Raw genomic sequence first — 22,041 nt, forward strand, 5'->3', positions numbered from 1 at the left:
TATAGATAGTTGTAAAAGCAAGAGAAACCATGTGTGTTATTTGCTAACATTTGCTTTAAAGAGGCAGGGAGAATATGCCGTTTGTGCTGTGTGTGCATCTCTCTGGAAGGATACCTAAGAAGGAATAACAGTGGTTGCCTGAGAAGGGGAGGGAAACAAGGAGGCTGGGAGATGGGGAAAGGAAAGACAGTTCCCTGTATTTCAGTTTATACTTTTAAAATTGTGGAACCATATGACTACATTATCTGTTGAAAATTAAAATCGGAAGAGGTGTCAAAAAGAAGGAGAAACATGGACAGGCTGCAGTCTGCAGTCACGAGGGCCTTGTATGTTATGGTAATCATGCCAAACTGTGGGAGAGCAGGAAAGTATCGATGTGAAAGTGGCGATCCAAACAAAAATGTTCTGGGTCTAACAGAACTCCTCTGTGCATGACTGTGGTGAAGAAGACCTCTTTATTTCTCGGTGAAATGAAGTGAGGAGGGTCTTGCTAAGCGCATTATTCTTCGTATTATCCCACCCAGGTGAGTCACGTGGTTGTGTGTTTAGAATGGTGGCATGGTAATTAGATTCCACAAAGGGCTGAAAGTTATGCAACTTCATCTCACCTAGATCTACCCAGATGGAAAGTGCTGGCAGAAGAAGAAAACCTCCCTCATATAATTCATTCACAAATTGTACTGCTGTGGATTTGGCATTGCAAGGATCTTGTCATCCATCTGGGTTTCAGGCATATATTTAAGAAACCTGGTTTATCTTTTCCATCTCATGTGGAATGGGATTTAACAGTTCAAAATCCATCTTAAAATAATTTGGCTTTTGTTAATGCCCAGATTGTTTGGGATGAAGGCCAAGAAAAGGAGGCTACCAACTGGAACTATCTGAAAAGCAATTAGGCATTTCCACATCTCCACAAGGATTAGGATGTAAACACCCACAGGTAGGCCGCACACCCAAACTTCAGACCTCCGGAGTTTTGAGGCAGAGCATATAGTTTACAAAGGCTGTACATTTAAACAGGTACTATATATAAATTATACATATTCTTATAAAATTATCAGCTATCCATATTTTGTTCTCTAAGTAGTGTGATATCATACCATAAGTCATGTACAGACCATGTTATGTTAAGGTACTTTTAATACTGTTGATATAGCTACCTCTTGAATGAGGTCCCAAACGCACCTGTGTTATATGGTATTCCATCTTTCAGGAAATATATCACTACACCTAATTTGGGGAATTGGAAATAAATTAAAAATATAAATATATATTTTGTCACCATTTAAAAGATTTTAGCTTTTGCTTTTAATTTGTTTTTTAATCTATACACAAAAATTTTTATACTGGTTGTGTTTGTGAGAAAAGAGCTTTTTGGGACAGCAAAGTAAATTTTCAGTTGAAAAACTAATCTTTAAGTGTATCCATTTAAGATCAATATGTCTCCTTATGAAGAATTTTTAAAACTATATTTGCTTCTAAAATTTTAGCCATGTGCTACATGCTATATTTTATTTTCATATCATTTAGATTGGTAGAGAAAATCCCAACCAGAATGTTTGAAAGGTCGTCTGCTTTACGTTTGGCAAGAATAAATGGCATTCATTTCATCGAAAAAGGAGATGATGCCATGTTTCTGACTTGGCCCTCACTTCCTTTCAAAGCAAAAGCCTCTTTTTGATATCTTTTTATTGTATATATCCTATTTTTATTTTTAGGGCTGTTTGGTTTTCATCTAAGTTTGTTATCTCTGATGGGAAGCAGAAAACTTGATAGAAGTGGAAATTTCTCTTCACTATATCCCAGTATAGTTGTATGCAGTTGTACTAAATGTTCTGAGTTAATTTAATTATGCCATCTTGAAATTTTTGCACCCATTTATTAATTTTTATAAAACCTGACATTTTATCAACATTATAATTCATTTTTTGTCATTAAGCTTTTAAGCCCTTCAGGAAAAAACTATTTAAAATATTTAAATTATAAAGTATTTTGAAATAATAATTGGAAAATTATGTGTAATCAACACCTACACATATAAAAAATCCTAGCTGTTTAGATTTTAGAGATAACATGAAAGAAGCAATAAATTTCTAAAATATGTTTCTTTATATAAAAATTCAATAATGTAATTTTGTATGGCCATACCAATTTTTAAAATTTAACATTATAGCTATAAAGCAAAAGTTACATGATTTGGGCAGTCCTCACCATGAACTGATGGCTTCATTCTGTTCTTTGTTCACACAGCCTATATCTTCCATTCCCTTTCGACCAGAACTGAATTAAACTCTCATTGACATCACCTAAGGATTTTCCATGTGTCCTTTCTCTGCTGCTTGATGACCTACTATTTATACCCTTAGTTCTCAAGTTCATTATCACAAAGAAATTGCGGCAGGTTTCCTCATGGTTAACATTCCAGAAGAAAAATAACCCACTGCTTTTCCCTAGGAACAGAAACTTGGGGTCATGGAGTCAAAGGAACCTAATGGTTGGTTCTTTGGAACAGAGCAACTGAGGCTCAAAGACAATCATTTTGTTGAAAGAGCAGCCACACCAGGCCAGCCAGGTCTTTTGCTGATCTCTGAACATAATCTCTGATCAGGTCATTTGCTGATCTCTGAACATAATTTACCCCTAAGCATTAATTGGTATTCCTGCATGTTTTATTGGATTCATGTAATATGCTCACAGCCTTCAAACTTTGATGTCTTTAAACACACTGTATATTCTGACTGCGAAATATATAGCACATAGCAATTGTGTCACACTTCCAAAGGACTGTTTACCTACTTAGTTTTGGTTTTCAAATGAAGTTTTTTCCATTTCTTTGGCTAGAATTAACTGTTACCTCTTGTCTTACTTGGGTGGCAACATGGTTGTAGAATCAAGGAATCCTAGTTCCTCCCCCTCTGTCTTTAATAGCTGCCCCAAAGTGTTACGTTTCACCTTTAAAGAAAAGATGGATGAAGCCATACTTTATTTGAGACTTTTATAGTGCCATTTAGTTTAAATTAGACTGGTATATGGGACATTGGCTAATAGAAAAAATACAATTATTTTGTTAAACAATTAACTTCAAGATAATGTGAACAACTATACTTGGCTCTAAAATATACAAATTTAGGATACAAATGTGTTGGTATAGTGTTTGGAAGATATTGGAAACATGCAGGGAATGGAACTTGTTTTTGAAAGAAAAAAAATCCCAGTTCTTATTCCCTCATTATTATTGGCCTGGTTTCTATTTCTGAACCTGAAGATTGTTTTCACAGTGGGAATTCTTGTCACTATCCCTAAGCAGCGGCGGCAGCAGCAACCTTGACACCGTCCTGAATCTGCCTTCCTGTTTATTCTCCCCAGTGTCTGCCTGGTGGCTTTCCATAGGTCCAGCAGGCAATGCTCTGGCCACATAAGCTAAGAGCCACACTCTGTAAGAATATTAGGACTCTTTTGGCTTAAATCCACAATTTAAAAATTTCTAAATATGACCTTCTAAATATGCAGATGATCATCACAAGAGAAACTTTCTCAGGATCAATAAAATTCCAATTATTTTTATTAAATATGTAGGTTTTTCTTACCTATAATTCATCAACAAAAAACACTTGTGTCTCTTTCTCTTCCTTCCTCCCTCCCTCCCTCCCTGCCTTCCTCCCTTCCTCCCTTCCTCCCTTCCTCCCTTCATTCCTTTCTTCTTCTTCATTCCCTCCTTCCTTCTTTTTTTTTAGGATAGACAGTCTTACAGTTCTTAGATTTTCTGATATACCCCTCTAATAATGACCCTCTAATGCCTACTGAACATGGACTTCGCATCTCTCAGTCCCATCTCCCCATCTTCCTAATCGGATTTTCTTCAAAATGATCCCAAGTCCTCTTGCATGCAAATCTGAAAATGTCTGTGGCTGGGCCCACCACAGACCTCCTAAATCAGAACCTCCAGGGAGACACAGGAGCCTGCACTTTAAACACACACCTCCAGTGATTCTGTTACTCGTTGAGGTTTGAGATGCACTATCTAGTCTCCACGTGACTTCTCTGTGCTGCCTGTCCCCACCATTCTCTGACAAGTTCCCCCAGACCCTCCTCACATGCTCTTTAAATTATCTGGATTACTGTAACAGTCTCCACTTTTGCCTGTTCAACTGCAGTCACAGGTTCACACAGCTGCTTGCCCACCCACAGCTCTTCCCAACACTGGGTCATGCTCCTTTCGCATCCCCATAGTGGGAGTCTCACATCTCTTCTCTTCCTGTAATTAAAGTGCAAGGAGTTTTAAAACAAAACCAACTTGACTTCTTGAGGGAGTGGAGAGGGAGTGTGACTTAGTCTTAAGCTTTTTACTTCTTACCTGATTTTCGCCAGCTACTTTAAAATTCACTCTATCTAGTCTTTAGACAGAATAGTATGACTTACAGAAGGAGAAGAGATGCTACTCTTCAGCTTTTTAGTAAGAGAAGGACTTTTTCGTTGGGCTAATGTTTCTTTGCTGAAAATAATTTGAAAAATGAGGTGGTTACTTAACTTCTCACCCAGAAAAGTTCTTTATACACCACTGTTGTTGTAAAGAACTGTGAAGACCTCCTGTGACATGCTAGGAGTAGATTTCCTAGTAATTTAGTTCCAAGAGAACAATGCAATTTGCATCTTAGATATCTTAATGGATTTATTTTGTTTTATATAGACAGACTGATCCAGTTCAAATGTATAATCTCATTCTCTCTCTCTCTCTTGCTTCCCTTATAACTGGTACCTATGCAATAGCCCTTACAATGTTCTGCCCACAGAATAATTATTTTACACATATGATTATATCAGACAAACCAAGATTAAAATCCTTCTTCACCACTTCCTTAGGAAAGTGCTGTAGCCTCTGTCTGCATTTCTTATATAGCGTATGTGAAGTGCCTGGTAAGTTGCCTTGTGATTCCCTTGGTTGCGTATCTTTCGTCCTTGCCCTGGCGCTCGCATGTCACAGGGAGACAGTGAAAAGTCAAGGTGAGAACCCTTTTCTTAAAAAAATACAATCAATATATGCTTCAAATTAGTTGATTAGCAAAATCCACTGTGGTGGATTTTGTCATTTCTGTTGGATCAGTCATTTCTAAGTTAATAACACAGAAATGTTTAAATGACCAGCCTGACCAACATGGTGAAACCCCATCTGTACTAAAAATACAAAAATTAGCCACGTGTGGTGGCACGTGCCTGTAATCCCAGCTACTTGGGAGGCTGAGGCAGGAGAATTGCTTGAACCCAGGAGGCAGAGGTTGCAGTGAGCCGAGATCACACCACTGCACCCTCACCTGGGCAGCAGAGTGAGACTCTGTCTCAAAAAAAAAAAAAAAAAAAGACATGTTTAAAAGAAACAGATGTGTTATGCAGCAAATCAAATAATTAAATAAATGACAATGGGATTGATAGTCTCAGTCACTTTTTTGGATTCTGAGTTTTTTATTTTTAACTTAGTATTTCCAGTGTTCAATTTGTCACCTTTTTGCCTGTTTTTAAAAAGAGCTTCACTAATAAAACATTTTGCATGTCCCTGTGAACTTTTATTGGGCTAGAGGTATTTTAAGAGGAGTAAGATAAGGGGGAGTGGTCTTGTCTCATTTTTTTAATAGACTTGTAAAATATGAGCTTTTTAGATAGCAGCCATGTATGCAGCTACACTTGTTTCTTTAAATGTTTCCCCATTTCTTCCTTATCTATATCATTTTTTATCCTTTCAACTCTGTTGCATCTTCAAGTCCCCAATCCTTCTCAAGGCAGCCTGTTCTGTAACAGCCTCTGGCCCTAGACTCATACTTTCTGAAGTTTCTGAAAGCTGTTTTCTTAAGACCTAGAGTAGCTGTTTGTCTAAGCTCAGCATTCCCTTCTTCTGCTGTTCCATACTTACATTATGTGAGTTGGAATTAAGCCCAGTATACCAGTTCCTGTCATTGCCTCATTACCTTACAGGTGATCAAGTGTTCAGCAAGGCACCATAAACAGTCTGCCCCTAGCAGAATGAGGCTTCCATGCGGATACCTTGATGTTAGAAAAATCCCCCACTATTATTGTTCCACCTTGTGCCAGTTTTGAAATGCCATAAAAAATCATTGCGAAGAGCCCACATCCAGTCAAGCAGTTGTAATATGTGGTCCTGCGTTAGTTAACATCACTTGCATTTTTCCTCCCAGTTTCTTTTCCTGTTCATCTTGCAGTCCATGGAGTCATATTTCTTGTTTGTAGAGAGCTACCCCCTCCCTCCCACTCTTGTGTCTCTTCCCTTTCCTACAATTCCAGTCATGGATTCCATTCTGCAAGCCTCAGTGATACTTATGAGAATATGGTACCTCCTGACTGCCAGAAACATAATGAGTATTAATTATTCCTGTTTGGAAATCCAGAACTCTTGCTGAAGTCCAGTATTAAAACTTAGAAAAGCCAAGCACATCAGTCTTATCATTAGGAACCCAACGGGTGGATCTGAGTCATGCAGCACACTCCAGGGAGTCTCCCGGATGTGAAGAGTGGGGAAAGTGTGTGTGTGGCATTGGGGTGGAAGGGGCTTATTCGGTTAACCAAGTTGGGATGTTCTCAGGTACCATCATCAGTAAAAGAAAAGTTGGAGAAAAGGGGAGTGGTCCATGCGTTAGTTCCCTGGAGAGTGGAATGAATCTTACTAGTTACTGTTCTTTCCCAAAACCAGTGAGGTTCCCATACCTTATTAGCATAACAGGAAGTAGGACCATGGCTCCTGGTTAGGTAGGAAAAAGAAACACAGAAGTAAAAAGCCTAAATTGGCCATTTATTGTGTTTATCATATGTGTGTCAGCTTTTGCTTGATATTTAAAGACACTAAGGAATAAAGTTGTTGTCAATCACCATGTAAAGAGTTGCTTCGAAATGGTGTTGCATAGAAAGGGAATTAGAAGTTGGAATGCCCAACTGAAGAGTAAAAGTGTGCAAAAGAATGTACAAAATGTCTTGTAAAATTTACAACAGTTCTAAATTATATGTAATAGCAAAAGTTTTTAAACAATGCAACGTCCTTCAGTAGGGGACTGGTTAAATAAATGCTAGTTCATCTACACATTGGAGTCTCTGTAGCTGTCACAGAAAAGAGTGAGGAAGAGCTCTATACACTGACATGGAGTGAACTCCACTATGCAATTGTGTGAGAAAAAGAAAGAAAACAACCAACATGCAGGACACTGTACATAGTATGCTACTTTCATGTAAGAAAGGAAGATTATTAATAATATGTACACATTTGATTATATTTGCAAAGAGAAACAATACAATAAAAAACTAATAACATATAAGGGGAAGAAGGATCAAGGTAGAGAAGACCATAAAGGAGGCAAGACTTATCTGAATTCACCTTGATATGTAGTTTAATTTTGGAATTATGTAACGTTTTGATATAATCCATAAAACAAATTACATCCAAAAAAAGCACTTCCCTCCACCACATACATGTAAAATGAGAAAAAAGAAACACATGACCTAATTGTACATTGTGAGTAGCATAACCACAGAGAGAAAAGAATTATTCCAGCTGACCCTAGAACATCATATTTTTCACTGAACATTCTCAATTACATATACTCTTAAGGACAAAAAAATGCTAAGAATGTTTAAATTGGATTCAGCGGTCTTACTATTAGAGTTATATTGGTGTGATTAGGAATTAAGATTTTCCACCTAATGGAAAAAAAAGCATAAAATTTTTAAATTTATGTGAAAACCCTGTAAACTAAATTTGAATTAGAGGATCTACAGATCTTGCAGAAATTGTTTTGAACAGCAGTAGGGATTATTTATTTATTATATAAATTCTGGTGTAGAATAAATGCAGAGTTAGAGTTCAGGGTCTTTCTCCACTCCCATCCTTGTACTGTGGGCTTGGTCTCTGACCTCAGATTGACCCTTTCTGTGACAGAAAATACATTACTTTGCGTTCTTTCTATCCCTCGTCTCCACTGTGTCCTCAGTGGAGCTTAAATCTGCCTTCTGAGAGTCCAAGTCCAGATGCTGGTCCCAGCCCTTCTTTCTGCTCCCTTGGCAGCTTCCCATCTCTGAAGCTTGCTGAGCTTCCCTTCTCTAAAATAAGAATAACAATGATCATAGGTGCCCTGTTTCCCTTCAGAACAATGAGGAACAATTGCTGACTTCGAAGATGCCTTCTGCCTTGTTGCTGCCATAATTTTTCAGTGTTTTGTCCCCATTATTACATTCTTAAATGGACACATTTATGAAATTCCACTGGAGGTTGGAATCATTTTAGCTGTACCTAGAAAAAGAAATATTTCCAGTTCATTACCACAGATTGGATGGGAGTTAATATACTTTGTCTTTTTTATTTCTTTCAGCCATGGAATTCCATGAACACTTGCACAGCATAGGCACCAAGGAAGGTTTGAAGGAAAGAAAACTACAAAAAGCAGTGGAGAGCTTTACCTGGAATATTACCATCTTAAAGGTATCTATAGAGTTGTTTCTGATGCTGGTGATTTTGCAGCCTCTTTCAGCATGCTTCCCTCTCTTAGTATAACATTTCCTGCATTGTACATGGTCAGCCACTGAGATTGTAGAATGGATGCAGAAATCACATGAAGAACTCTGCCCTTCTAGAGTCTGTAGGCACAACAGTTTGACATTGTAGATCAGTTGAAGAACAGGGGAACTTCTATGATTGGCACATTGTAAGTCCTGATAGACAAAGGACTTTTGTCATTTTATCCTTGAGACATTTTAAAGTTCATAAATGCCAGTTGCTATATGTAAAATAGAAAATATTGATTACAGAGGAATGATTGGGAATTTAAAGATTCTAGTTACTCAAATTTCATTTAACACTTTAAAGTGTAATTATGGCTATAATGTTCATATGATCCCAGAAATAAATAGAAAAGAATTGTATGGAGCATAATCAAAGGAAATACATAAAAGAATTGCTATTGAAAGAAATATTTCTTGAAGGGAAATGCTATCTGCTATCTCTATGCATATCTATTTTGGCATAACAGTTGTTAAAAATTAACTTTTTATTTTTTATTATAAAAATAATATATTTTCATTGTCAAAAATGTCAAAAGAGCAATAATCAAAGGTAAACACAATCCCATCATCGAGAGACAATTACTGTTGGCCTTTTGCTGTGCATTCTCTCAGGCTGATTTTCTATTTTATATGTAATGTGACATAATTTTTAAAATAATGCTGTGTATGTACCTCGAAACTTTTTTGAGCTTTACCTCAATAGTTCTTCTCAGTGTTACTCACAGAGCATAAATAATAATAACACAGAGGTTATTTCATTCCAGGTCTTGGACAATTAATAAATGTAAAATTACTCTCTGGTGTTTGCCTTCCAAACTTTATGCTCAGCTGAATTTGTAGGGAAGAAAGGAAGGCTTCCCTTTCACCCGCTGAAGCTGCCTTGAAAACGACCTGACAATTGACAGATTAGCAGGCATAAAAAGGCCTACATATTATATTTATTTAAGGTGCAGAAGCATGGGGAATGGCAGGAGGATGATTACCTAACAACCCAGTGTGGTCTTGATGCATACAAACCCTTCTTCATAGTGGAGGGACATGGGGGAAATGTGGCCATTTTTGAGGGGTAGTAAATGAATTTTAGGGGAAATGAATGGGCCCAGTGCTCAGAAATGGGATAGTAAATGATTCTCTTTGGGAACTGAATGGTCTGAGAAGGAAAACTAGTTTGGGAGGAAGTTCTTCTGTGCTGTAGTTGTGGTGTTTAATTTTCAGTCTCTTCTTCTGTAAATTTTAGTCTTCTCTGGTTAATGAAATTTCAGAGAGGAGATCAGAGGCATTTGTGCTTCTCTTTGGTGGGTCCAGTTTCTAGTTAGATCAGGGTACTTGAACAGCCTCATCTTTGGGAGAGAGAGGACTGAGAGATATGTGGTGGGGGTGGTCAGAGAAACCGTGAGCCTGCTTCTTTAGTTCAGCATGTCAAAGTGTCATCTTTTGGGGTATTGTTTTCTGAGCCCCAACAGATTCAAGACCATAAAGACATTATCACAGCTGCCTTTTTAAATTTCCTCATTCCCCCTGAAGTTAAAAGCTCCATCCTTGGAGCTGACAATAATTTTCAGATTTGATGTAATAAAAGGTATCTTCCAAAGCTAGTCGCCATTTGCATTTTTCTCACGTTAAACGTCTACTTATTTTTATAATTAAGATCATTTTCTTGACTTCTTCAGACATTTCCCTTTTCACATATGTACTTTTCTTATATACCTATTTTGCTTATACTTTAACCCTGATTGTTTGCAGATCAGTAAACAGCAAACATAAGAATTTACAACGAAAAAGGATTTGGCTTTACAATTTGCTGACTCACTCCTGGTCAGAGGTGGGGGGTACACTATAAATTTCCTGTAAACTCAAGAAAATATATCACAGCAGATTAAGCCCTGTGGTAGGAACAAATGCTCACTTTGCTTTAATTTTATTAGAGGCAAATATAGACATAGGGACCAAACTTTGGCTTGTCAAGTACCCTTCCTACTCATGTGTGGTCCGGGAACCAGCAACCTGGGCCTCAGAGGGGAACTTGTTAGAAATTCAGAATCTCAAGTCCCACCCTAGTCCTGCTGATTCAGAACCTGCATTTTTACAAGATCCCCAGGTGATTCTTAGGCACATTAAAGTTTGAGAAGCACTGGGCTGAGAGCCACCAAAAATGGGAGCCTGATGCACATATTAATGAAAAACAGCTGACATAAAGCAGTGTGCCATATTTTAGAAGTAATTGGACCAAATAGATACACTGAAGAAACCTACTTTCTTTTGAATTGTGTCCAGGAGAGAGAATTAACACCTCAGACTTATGTTCATATGGAAGTAAATGTATAGGATGGGGTAATAGGTCTTTTTTTAATTTCCAGGATAATATTTGCTACAGATGGTGTTTAAGGATGGTAGAATGTAAGTGAGGCATGAGGAAGAATTGGAAAGATCTGTGTGTCATTTCTGTAGAATGGGGTTTTTTTTTCATTCCTGTATGTCACTGGTTTAAACTTTCTTTAGAATGAGTGCTGACAGGGAATCTTGAACGTGAATTTAGGTCTAAGTTGAGCTACCAGTATTTTCCTGGCGGGAGGGCATGGGATCTGTCGAGTTCCTCCCATTACTTTTTGTTTGCAGTGAGCTAGGAGAGGTGGCAGCGCTCCAGGCAGATGGCCAGCAGTAAACACACAGCAGGAGGCTCCCAGTAGCACAAATGCTTAGGGAGGGTTTCAGATGACCCCGGAAATGCAGAGAAGAGGAAATGAAGGAGGAAGCCAGGAAGACTGCTGAAGGAGCTCTGAAACAGTCCAAGGCTTGAGAATTACCTGGGATGCTTAAACATGCCCTCTCCTAAGCCTCATCCCAGACTTCCCAGACCAGAATCTCCAGGCTTGGAACCCAGGAATCTGCTTATTTAACAAGTTTCTTGGGGGATTCTGAGGCACACACAAAAAAACCTTATTATTGTTGTCCTAGAATCAAAAGCTTTCCTGATGCATCACCATAGTCATTTGAACCATAAGGAGGTAGGGTGGCCAGCCATCCTAGAAGCAAGACATTCAGTGCTAAAACCAGGACAATCTGGGCAAACTGGGACCATTGATCACCCTGAGAGGAGTTCCTGCCACTAAAAGTGTCGTTTCATTGAAGGATGTCTGTCCCAGTTTTTATGAATCTTTACTTGCCTAGTTTAGTTTTTTTTTATTTTGAAGGTTCTTTTAAAATTCAGAAATGAACAAAGAAGAAATAAAGTCATCTATAACTGCCACACCCAGAATTATCTACTATTAACATCTTGGCATACTTACTTCCAGTCATTTTTTTTCTTGAATAAAAAAGCATTCATTTGTTGTTATAAATCTATCTTTTTTAAAATAGAAAAATGTTTTTAAGTGACCCAAGATTCTCCCTCTGAGAAATAACCATTATTAGACGTAGGTGACTTTATTCCAGGAACCTTTCTATATGAATATGTCTGGATGGATCAGTATATATTTTAATGATTCTAAGTCATACTTTTTTTCACACTTTCGGTATGTTTGAAATTAGCATATATCTTATAGTCCATGGCATCTTTGCATTATATCCTGGTTAAATTGGCAATGATTTTTATTTCTTAGTGCTACATAAAATACTGGCACATCTCACAAGCACTAATGTCTCAGATATTATAAAATAAGTTATGTCAGCAGACATAATTCTTTTTTTTTTTTCTTTTTTGAGATGGAGTCTCACTCTGTCACCCAGGCTGGAGTCCAGTGGCACAATCTCGGCTCACTGCAACCTCTGCCTCCTGGGTTCAAGTGATTCTCCTGCCTCAGCCTCCCAAATAGCTGGGACTATATGCATGTGCCACCATGCCCAGCTAATTTTTGTATGTTTAGTAGAGACAGGGTTTCACTATCTTGGCCAGGCTAGTTTCGAACTCCTGACCTCAGGTAATCTGCCCACCTCAGCCTTCCAAAGTGCTGGGATTACAGGTGTGAGCCATCACGCCTGACTGATAGAATTCTAATATAATTGTTCTTTAAAAATTTTTAAGTACTAAATTTCATTTTATTTAACCATAAAGATGCTAAATGAATTGGTGAGCAATTTCTACCATAACAAAGATTTATTTCCATTTCCCAAAAGATCCCTTTGAGGTTAAGAAAAGGGATTATGAGAAATGTTAATAGAAGTCATTTTGCTGGGTATTTTTAAAGCTACATGTTTTAGTTATAAGTATTGTTGGTTGTCCTGCTATGAAAGATGACAATATGGGCCGGGCATGGTAGCTCACACCTGTAATCCCAGCACTTTGGGAGGCCGAGCTGCATGGATCACCTGAGGTCAGGAGTTCAAGACCAGCCTGGCCAACATGACGAAACCCCGTCTCTACTGAAAATACAAAAATTAGTTGGGCATGGTGGCGGGTGCTTGTAATCCCAGCTACTTGGGAGGCTGAGGCAGGAGAATCGCTTGAACCCAGGAGGCGGAGGTTGCAGTGAGCCAAGATCATGCCACTGCACTCCAGCCTGGGTGACAGAGCGAGACTGTCTCAAAGAAAAAAAAAAAAAAAAAGACAATATGAGCATTCTCTAATATTACTAGATAGATCATATTGTTATTTTTTTATTGTCCATGTTAAAAGTATTCATATTTGGTCTTGAAACTATAATTGCCATGTCACTTGAAGTTCAGTATTTAAATTGGTTCACTGTCACCATCAGTCTGGGAAGTCACCCATGCTTTCCTGCAACCTACAGGAATAGCAGGGAAAAGAGATAAAGCCAGCGGGTGTCTTTGCCAGGCTTCTTAAGATATTGGACCCAGCCTTCTCTTCTCAGAGTTTGTAAAATGTCCTGTTCTAGGGTTTCTGCTGCAAACTAGGGAGAGGGTGTAATCCATTCCCACAGGCCTCCCATTGCTTCTTTGATTTAGAAGCCAACTTTGAAACCTCCCTCCATTAGATAGTCAGCATCATTTTTTGTGTGTCAACTTTGAGACATAATGTTTGTAAAATAAAATTCACCAATTTTGAGCACAAAATCCTATGAGTTTTGACAAGTGTATGTACAGGCGTACCTTGGAGACTGCTTGATCAGTTCCAGACCATGGCAATAAAGCAAATATCACAATAAAGTGAGTCACATGATTTTTTTGGTTTCCCAGTATATATAAAAGTTATATTTACACTATAATGTAGTCTATTAAGTGTGCAGTAGCTTTTATGTCTAAAAATCAATGTACATAGCTTAATTTAAAAATGCTTTATTGCTAAAAAATGCTAATAATCATCTAAGCCCTCAGTTAGTTGTAATCCTTTTGCTGGTGGAGGGTCTCACCTCCATGTTAATGGGTGATGACTGATGAGGGTGGTGGTTGCTGAAGGCTGGGGTGGCTTGTGGCAATTTCTTAAAATAAGACAGTGGAGCTTGCTACACTGATGGACTCTTTGTTTCACCACAGATTTCTCTGTAGCGTGCAATGCTGTTCAGTAGCATTTTACCCACAGTAGAACTTCTTTGAAAATCAGTCTTCTCAAACCCCGCCATTCCTTTATCAATTAAGTGTATGTAATATTCTAACTCCTTTGCTGTAATTACAGCAATGTTCACAGCATCTTCACCAGGAGGAGATTCCATCTCAAGAAACCACTTTCTTTGCTCATTCATAAGAAGCAACTCCTCATGCATTACAGTTTTATGATGAGATTGCAGCAATTTAGTCACCTCTTCAGGCTCTATTTCTAATTCTAGTTCTCTAGTTATTTTCATTCCATCTGCATTTACTTTCCCCACTGTCGTCATGAACCCATCCAAGTCAACCATGAGGGCTGGGATCAACTTCCTCCAAAATCAGCTTCTTCCAGACTCCTGTTAATGTTGACATTCTGACCTCTCCCATGAATCATGAATGTTATTAATGGCGTCTTAGAATGGTGAATCCTTTCCAGAAGGTCTTCAATTTACTTTACCCCGATTCATCAGAGGAATCACTATCTATGGCAGCTATAGCCTTATGAAATGTATTTCTTAAATAATAAAACTTGAAAGTCAAAATTACTCTTTGATCCATGGGCTGCAGAATGGATATTGTATTAGCAGGCATGAAAGCAATATTAATCTCCTTGTGCATCCCTATCAGAGTGCTTGGATGACCAGGTACATTGTTGATATGCAGTAATATTGTGAAAGGAATCTTTTTTACTGAGCAGTAGGTCCCAGCTGTGGGCTTAAAATATTCAGGAAACCATGCTGTAAACACGTATGTTCTCATCTAGGCTTTATTGATCCATTTATAGAGCACGGGCAGAGTAAATTTAGCATAATACTTAAGGGCCCTAGGATTTTCAGAATGGCCAATTAGCATCGGCTGCTACTTACAGCCACCAGCTGCATTATTCCCTAACAAGAATATCAAACTGTCCTTTGAACCCTTGAAGCCAAGCATTGACTTCTCCTTTTGAGCCATGAAAGCCCTAGATGGCATCTTCTTTCAATAGAAGGCTGTTTCATCTACATTGAAAATCTGTTGTTTAGTATAGCCACCTTCATCAATGATCTTGGCTAAATCTTCTGGGTAACTCACTGCACCTTCTACATCAGCACTTGCTGCTTCGCATTGCACTTTGATGTGGTGGAGATGGCTTATTTCCTTAAACCTATGACCCAACCACTGCTAGCCTCCAGCTTGTCTTCTGCAACTTTCTTACCTCTCTTAGACTTCATAGAATTGAAGAGAGTTAGGGCCTTGCTCTGGATTAGGCTTTGGCTTAAGAGAACATTGTGGCTGGTTTGATCTCCTATTGAGACCACTCAAACTTTCTCCATATCAGCAATAAGGCAGTTTTGCTTTCTTATCATTCATGAGTTCAGTAGAATAGCACTTTAAATTTCCTTCACAAACTTTTCCTTTGCATTAACAACTTGGATAAATGTTTGGTGCAAGAGACCTAGCTTTTGGCTCATGTTGGCTTTTGACTTGAACTTGGCCTTCCTCAGTAAGCTTCATTATTTCTAGTTTTTTATTTCAAGTGCAACTCTTCTTTTCACTTGAACACTTGGAGGCCTTTGTAAGGTTATTTTTTGGCCTAATTTTCATATTGTTATGTCTCAGGAACTTTGCATGTCATTAGGGAGGCCTGAAGAGACAGAGATGGAGAGTGACCAGTGGAACAGTCAGAACACACACAACATTTACCAATTAAGTTTGCTGTCTTATAAGGAAGGGCACACTTTATGGTGCCCCAAAATAATTAGTAACATCAAAGACCACCAATCACAAATCACAATAACTAATATAATAATAGTGAAAAAGTTTGAAATATTGCAAGAATTACCAAAGAGTGACACAGAAACACAAAGTGAACACATGCTGTTGGAAAAATGACACTGTAGACTTGCTTGACGCAAGGTTGCCACAAACCTTCAATGTGTAAAAAAAAAAAAAAAAAAATGCAGTATCTGTGAAGTGTGATAAAATAAAGTATGTCTGGAGTCATGCAACCCCCAGCACAATGATGGTAGGGCATTGTTGTCACCCTGCTCCCCCAAATTGCATTGTGCCCCTTTGTAGTAAAATCCTTTATGTTGGCAACCACTTATCTCATTTCTATCTCTATAGTTTGACCTGTGCCAGAATGTCATATAAATGGAATTACATGGCATACAGTCTTTTCTGCCTGGCTTATTTCATGTAGCATTGTGCTTTTGAGTCATACAAGTTAATGTAGGTTTCAGTACTCCATTCCTTTTTATTGCTAAATAGTATTCTGTTTTATGGATATAACACATTTTGTTTATACCTGCACCAATTTATGGACATTTGTGTTGTTTCCAATTTTTAGCTATTACAAATAAACCTGCAATGAACATTCACATATCAGTCTTTGTATGGACATGCTTTTATTCTTCTTGGGTAAATATGAGTGGGATTGCTGGGTCACATGGCAAATGTGTGTGAGACTGATAAGAAACTGCCACAGTGCTTTAAAAACAACTGATGTTCCATTTTGCCTTTCCCCAGCAGTGTTGCAAGGGTTTTAGTTGCACCACATCCTTGTCAACACTTGGAATTATCAGTTTTGTCATTCCAGTAAGTGGATGGGGGTTGAGCATCTTTGTGTGTACGTGAGTTTTAAAAAATATCTGACTGACTCTAATGTGGTTTTCTTTATGTTTCTTCTGCTTGGGGTTGGTTGAGATTTTTAGATATGTGAATTTGTAGTTTTTAACAAATTTGGAAACTTTTTGGTGATTATTTCCTGAAATTTGTTTCTGTCTTACCCTTTCTACCATCTCCTTCTGTAACTCCAATTATATGTATAAATATACTGCTTGATATTATCCCACAATCACAGATGCTTATTCATTAGTTTTTAAGTACTTTCTGTGGTTTAAAAAAAAATTTTTTTGAGACAGGATCTCACTCTTGCCCAGGCTGGAGTGCAGTGGCGTGAACACTACTCATTGCAGCCTCAACCTTCTGGGCCGAAATGATCCTCTCATCTCAGCCTCCTGAGTAGCTGGGACCACAGGCACGTGCTACCATGCCTGGATAATTTGTACGTTTTTTGTAGAGACTAGGTTTTGCCATGTTCCCCAGGTTGGTTTCAAACTCCTGGCCTCAAACAATCCTCCCACTTCAGCCTCCCAAGGTGTAAGAATTACCGCACTCAGCCGTTTCCTTTTTGTTTTCTTTTTTAATTCTTGATATTTTTATTGCCATGTCCTTGAGCAATATTGCTATATTTTCAAGCAACACTTCTGTTTTCTGTAATATCTAATCTGCCATTAATCCTATTCAGTTTTTTAATTTCAAATTTGTCATGTTTCTGTTCATGCTAGTCATATCCTCTACCTTCTTGAAGACATGTCATATATTCACAATAGCCGTTTTCCAGCCTCTTCCTCTCCACTCTTGGCCCCTCATGTTCTAGCCACTGTCGGCTCCCTGAACTCCACACTCTGTCTTCTCACCCCAGTGGGACTGCTGGGCTCTGTTTGAGTTCCCCTTTCCTGCACTGCATCTGGAAACTGCAAGCAGTAAGCTGGACACGGTTGTTTGTATTTCTTCTCTCAGGATCACTGTGTTGTACTATCTGAAAATCATTGTTTTCTGCATTCTGTCTGGTTTTCTAATTGTATGCCAGCCACACTTCCAACTTTTCCTGTGTCATTTCTTTCTTCCCACCCTCTGCCCCATCTGCTACTCCATGAAACAGAATGCTCACTCCGTTTGCATCTCTCTGGTTTGGTTGTGTTTGAGATAGAACTTTCAGGACTTTTATGACTTGCCAACATGACTTCTGTGAGTTTTAGTTCATAGAATGATTATACCCTTTTTTTAGTTTTGCTGCTGTTTGTGGCTTTTTGCTTGGCTTTGTTTTTGCTCATTTCATCAGGAATGTAGAATGGAAATTCTGTAATGCATTTTCAATCCACCAGCTTAATCAAGACTTCCTCTACCTTTATTTTCCAGTTACCAAAATATTCACTGTACTGGTGGTAATTTTCACTGTGTCAATTGATTGCCATTCCTAAAATGGTAGAATCTCATACTAGAAGAGTCCTGTTTTCATTGGTCTGTTTTGGTTACCAAGAGTAGAAACTCACTCTGGCCAGCTCACAGAGGAGTCGCCACAGATGCTGGCTCACACAAGGGATCATGAGAGGGACAGGGACCTCAGGGAACTTGGAGACCGGAAACTGCAGTCCAGCCTCATGACAATAGCAAGCTGTTCGGAAACCTGGCAGCCCCCGAGGTAGCTGCTCCTCTCTGTGGAACAGGGGTCTTTCTGCTTATCTTTCTGCCTCTTCTCCATTCTGCTTCCTCTGCTGGCTGGCTCGTTCTGTTCACTCAGAGTTTCTACTGCTTTATAACTTGTTCTGGCCTTGGTCTGTTCTTTACCATATCCTCTAAGCATTTATTTCAAGTACTCAATCTATTTGTATTTCCTGCCTCAGCCTAGCCTTTTAGCTGCAGACCAGTGGTCCCGATAAACCTCCTCTTGTATTAAGTGTCCTTGGATCAGGTTCTCCCCCTGCTTTAATCCACTTTGTCCAGGAAGGTATTGTCAGCACAAAATATGGCTCCCTTTAGTGGCTGTTTCGGTTATCTATTGCTGTATAACAAACCACTGCAAAACTAGTGGCTTGAAACAATGACTTCTCATTTCTCGTGATTCTTGGGTTAGCTGGGCTCAGCCAGATGGTTTTGCTGCTCCATGTGATATTAGCTGGGATCACTTAAGAGATTTGTTCTGCTGGGAACTCAGCTTGGCCTGGAACATCGAAGAAGGTACTCACATGGCTGGATCTCATCTGGGGTGGCTGGGATGGCTGGGCTTTTTTTTTTTATAGCATCTATATCGTATCTTGGACTTGAATTAAGCTTGTTACAACCGAAGATGTTTTCCAGATGAATGGCTGCCAGGCTAGCTCTCCTGACCTGTGCCCCTCTACCATCAGAAACAAGGCTATCAATAAACCCTAAAAGTAATTAGAGATTCATTCTCTTTAGGAACCTAAAACTTCTGCCAAAACATAAATCAATAAACCAGATGGTTTTTGCACCTGGTAGACATTTGTCTTGATTTTCTTCATTTTTACCTGAGGTACAGTGCTTATCTTGAAGACTTAAAGACTGGCATTTGTTTCCTTTTTGAAATTACCATGATGGTTGATGTATGACTCCTTTTATTGAGGCTCATATCTTTTAGTTATTTTTATTTATTATAGGTAGTATAGTATGTTGTCTCTTTTCCTGAAAAGCTATAATTGACTGAAAGCCATTTCTCTATTTAGTGTGTGAAAATTTCTCAGAATGGCTCAGAAAATCAAACTATAGTAGCGTTTGTCATTAGGCAGGCTGTTCTTTCTGGTCCATTTGAAATACAGTAAAACCTCAAACATTGGGACCCCACTCATGTGGAGTTTGTGATTACTCAGCTAATGTTTGACTGTGTAAATGGTGTGCTTGAAAGATTAATAGCGCGAAGGAGGTGCTTACGTGCATGCTATTTTCCCTGGTGTTTCCAAGGGCTCTCACGCCCATGGCCCAGCCCCACTTGCCTCTCAGTGTCCCCTCGCTCTCTGCATCCTCTCTCTACACAGCTGGGCCACCCTCCCCTCCCCTCTGGCCCTGGTCCCTGCCTGGAACCCTCTCCTGACACCCCACCTTCTGTGCTTAGGTCATGGCTCACCTCCACTGTCTGGAGACTCCAAAGGCTGCTCCTGAATGCTAACCCTACCTCTGCCACCAGAGTGGCCAGCTCTGTGCCAGACGAGGCCACTGTCCTACTGCATGGTGGAATTTAGCCCTTCCCATGGCCAGGTCTGTAGCAGAGGGAGATGTAGTCAGTCAGAACCTAGAAAGCTTTGTAGCATAGAAATCATGCTGCTAAATGGTTGGGCTCCAGAGGTGCCATATGTTGGAGTCACGGTCACTCCTCTGTGGCAGGCAGCATCAGCCCCTGGGCCTGCCGCCGTCCTTTCCTGCCCTGAGTTTCCCCAATTCAGACACCGCCTCCTCCGTGGTGCTGCCGAGGAGCCCCCAACCCTCCGTCTTTGGTGAAGGAAAAGTAAAATTGTTTCTAAGGATGAAGGCATTCATTCTGAATTTAAAAAATTGAATCATATTTAAAATTATTAACTTTTGTACAAACCTCTGAGCACAACCATGGGAAAATTGGAGACTAACTGTGAATGTGATGACAGCCCAAATATAGGCAAAAAGTGTGGCAGGCAAAGGGAGCCACATGGAAAGTCAGATCCATGCAGCCCACTATCCCTTCATCATCAAGACACTGCCTCGAACCACAGAAACATCTCTTTGGATCCAGCAAAAACCAAGGGCAGGAGCTGTGCTTAGAGGGCTCTCCTTTCCGCTCCTGCACAGAACCCTTCATCCCCCTCTGGCAGCTTCTTTGCACCCTTTGGGGTGGAGGTCAGGGTGGAGGGAAGGCGGTCTTCCTGCTGTGGGGAGACAAGCTGATTTGCAGCTCATGTTCCATGCCCATCAAACGTGTGAGTGCACATACAGGAAGCCAAAAGGACAGAAAACATCACGCACTCTTAAAATGAGCCTAACGTCCTGTACAAAAGCCTGTGTCCTGTTGCTGTAGGTTTAGGTGACTGATGATTAGGGAGTCTTTTTTCAACCGTAAGGTTTACTGAGACTTCAGTGGGAAGTGGACCTGACCAAGCTAGGAGGCCTTCCTTAATTCTGATGAATGTGCCACGATCTCAGCCAGCCTCAAAAGAACTCTTGAAAGGGGAACTATCAATGTATAATAATGAGAGGCGATTTAGAATCCGTAGCCAAGACTCCTACAATCCATTCATTCTTCTTTTTTTTTCCAGACGGAGTCTTTCTCTGTCCCCCAGGCTGGAGTGCAGTGGTGTGATCTTGGCTCACTGCAACCTCCACCTCCCGGGTTCAAGTGATTCTCCTGCCTCAGCCTCCCGAGTAGCTGGGATTACAGTCGCCCGCCACCATGCCTGGCTAATTTTTGTATTTTTAGTAGAGACAGGATTTCACCATGTTGGCCAGGCTGGTCTTGAACTCCTGACCTCAGGTGATCCGCCCACCTCGGCCTCCCAAAGTGCTGGGATTACAGGTGTGAGCCACCACACCCGTTTCATTCTTTTGTTCACTCATTCCTCATTCAACAAACACACAGTGGAAATCCATATTTCTGTTTCTGCTTTTAATCACAGGAAGAGTGAATTGTCTACACAGTTGTTGATGTGCTGGATACATGAAAAATGTAGTGTGTGTTTCAACCTGCTTGCTTTAAAATATTGCATGCAGTCTGTGGGGTTCAACTCTCTATAGTTGTGGCCTCACAGTTTAGTTTATCCAACAGGAAAATAAAACAAACATACCAGAGAGAAAGGTGTGTGTGTTTCAGTGTGATTTGCTGTTCAGACTCTACCCGTAATCTCTCTAAACTCAGTGTCCTTTTTATGAAACGAGAATGGTAATAGCACTTCCCTTGCATCCCCTCTTTGTGGAGCAGGTGGTATCAGTGAAGGTATCTAAATTCTGCTGTGTTCCTCTCTGCATTCCCAAATAGATAAGAAAGACAGGAAGGAGGAGTATTTTTGTGCCTCAGACTCCCATAATGGTATGAGTACCCTCCTCCTTCTCCTCCCTCACACTGCATGTGATTTGGAAGAAAAGTGTCTGCTGGCCCCCAGGGAATGGAAGGTGCTAATCTTTGCTGTCTTCAACATCCAAGCATGTGGCCATTACACAGGTGGCAGAGGGCAGGGGAAGTCTTAGCTGCCGCACTGGATCCCTCACCTCAGAAGTAAGACAACTGTTTTTCTCTAATAGATAGTTGGACAAAAGGACTTTGAAAAAATTAGCCAGATGTAGAATCCCTGTTGTTTTGCCCCTACGTCTGAATAAAAGCAATGACTTGTGATTGTTAAATGGCTCCTAAAATGTAGCACTAACAGATGTGTCTTGAAATATTTTTAATATATTAAAAACTAGAACATCTTTTGTGGTCATACA

The 22,041-nt window shown here is 39.6% G+C and overlaps 1 protein-coding gene across 5 annotated transcripts in view; it reads left to right on the forward strand.

The window, feature by feature from the left end:
• PLCL2 (phospholipase C like 2) overlaps positions 1–22,041 on the forward strand; it is a 205,652-nt gene that overhangs the window by 174,638 nt on the left and 8,973 nt on the right. For all 5 annotated transcript variants that reach the window (NM_001144382.2, XM_047447799.1, XM_017006025.2 and 2 more), the window contains one exon: positions 8,364–8,473. In NM_001144382.2, the coding sequence (NP_001137854.1) occupies positions 8,364–8,473 (110 nt within the window). The remainder of the gene's footprint in view (positions 1–8,363; positions 8,474–22,041) is intronic.

Source organism: Homo sapiens, chromosome 3 (assembly GCF_000001405.40).
Source record: "Homo sapiens chromosome 3, GRCh38.p14 Primary Assembly".
In the NCBI taxonomy this organism is placed as follows: domain Eukaryota; kingdom Metazoa; phylum Chordata; class Mammalia; order Primates; family Hominidae; genus Homo; species Homo sapiens.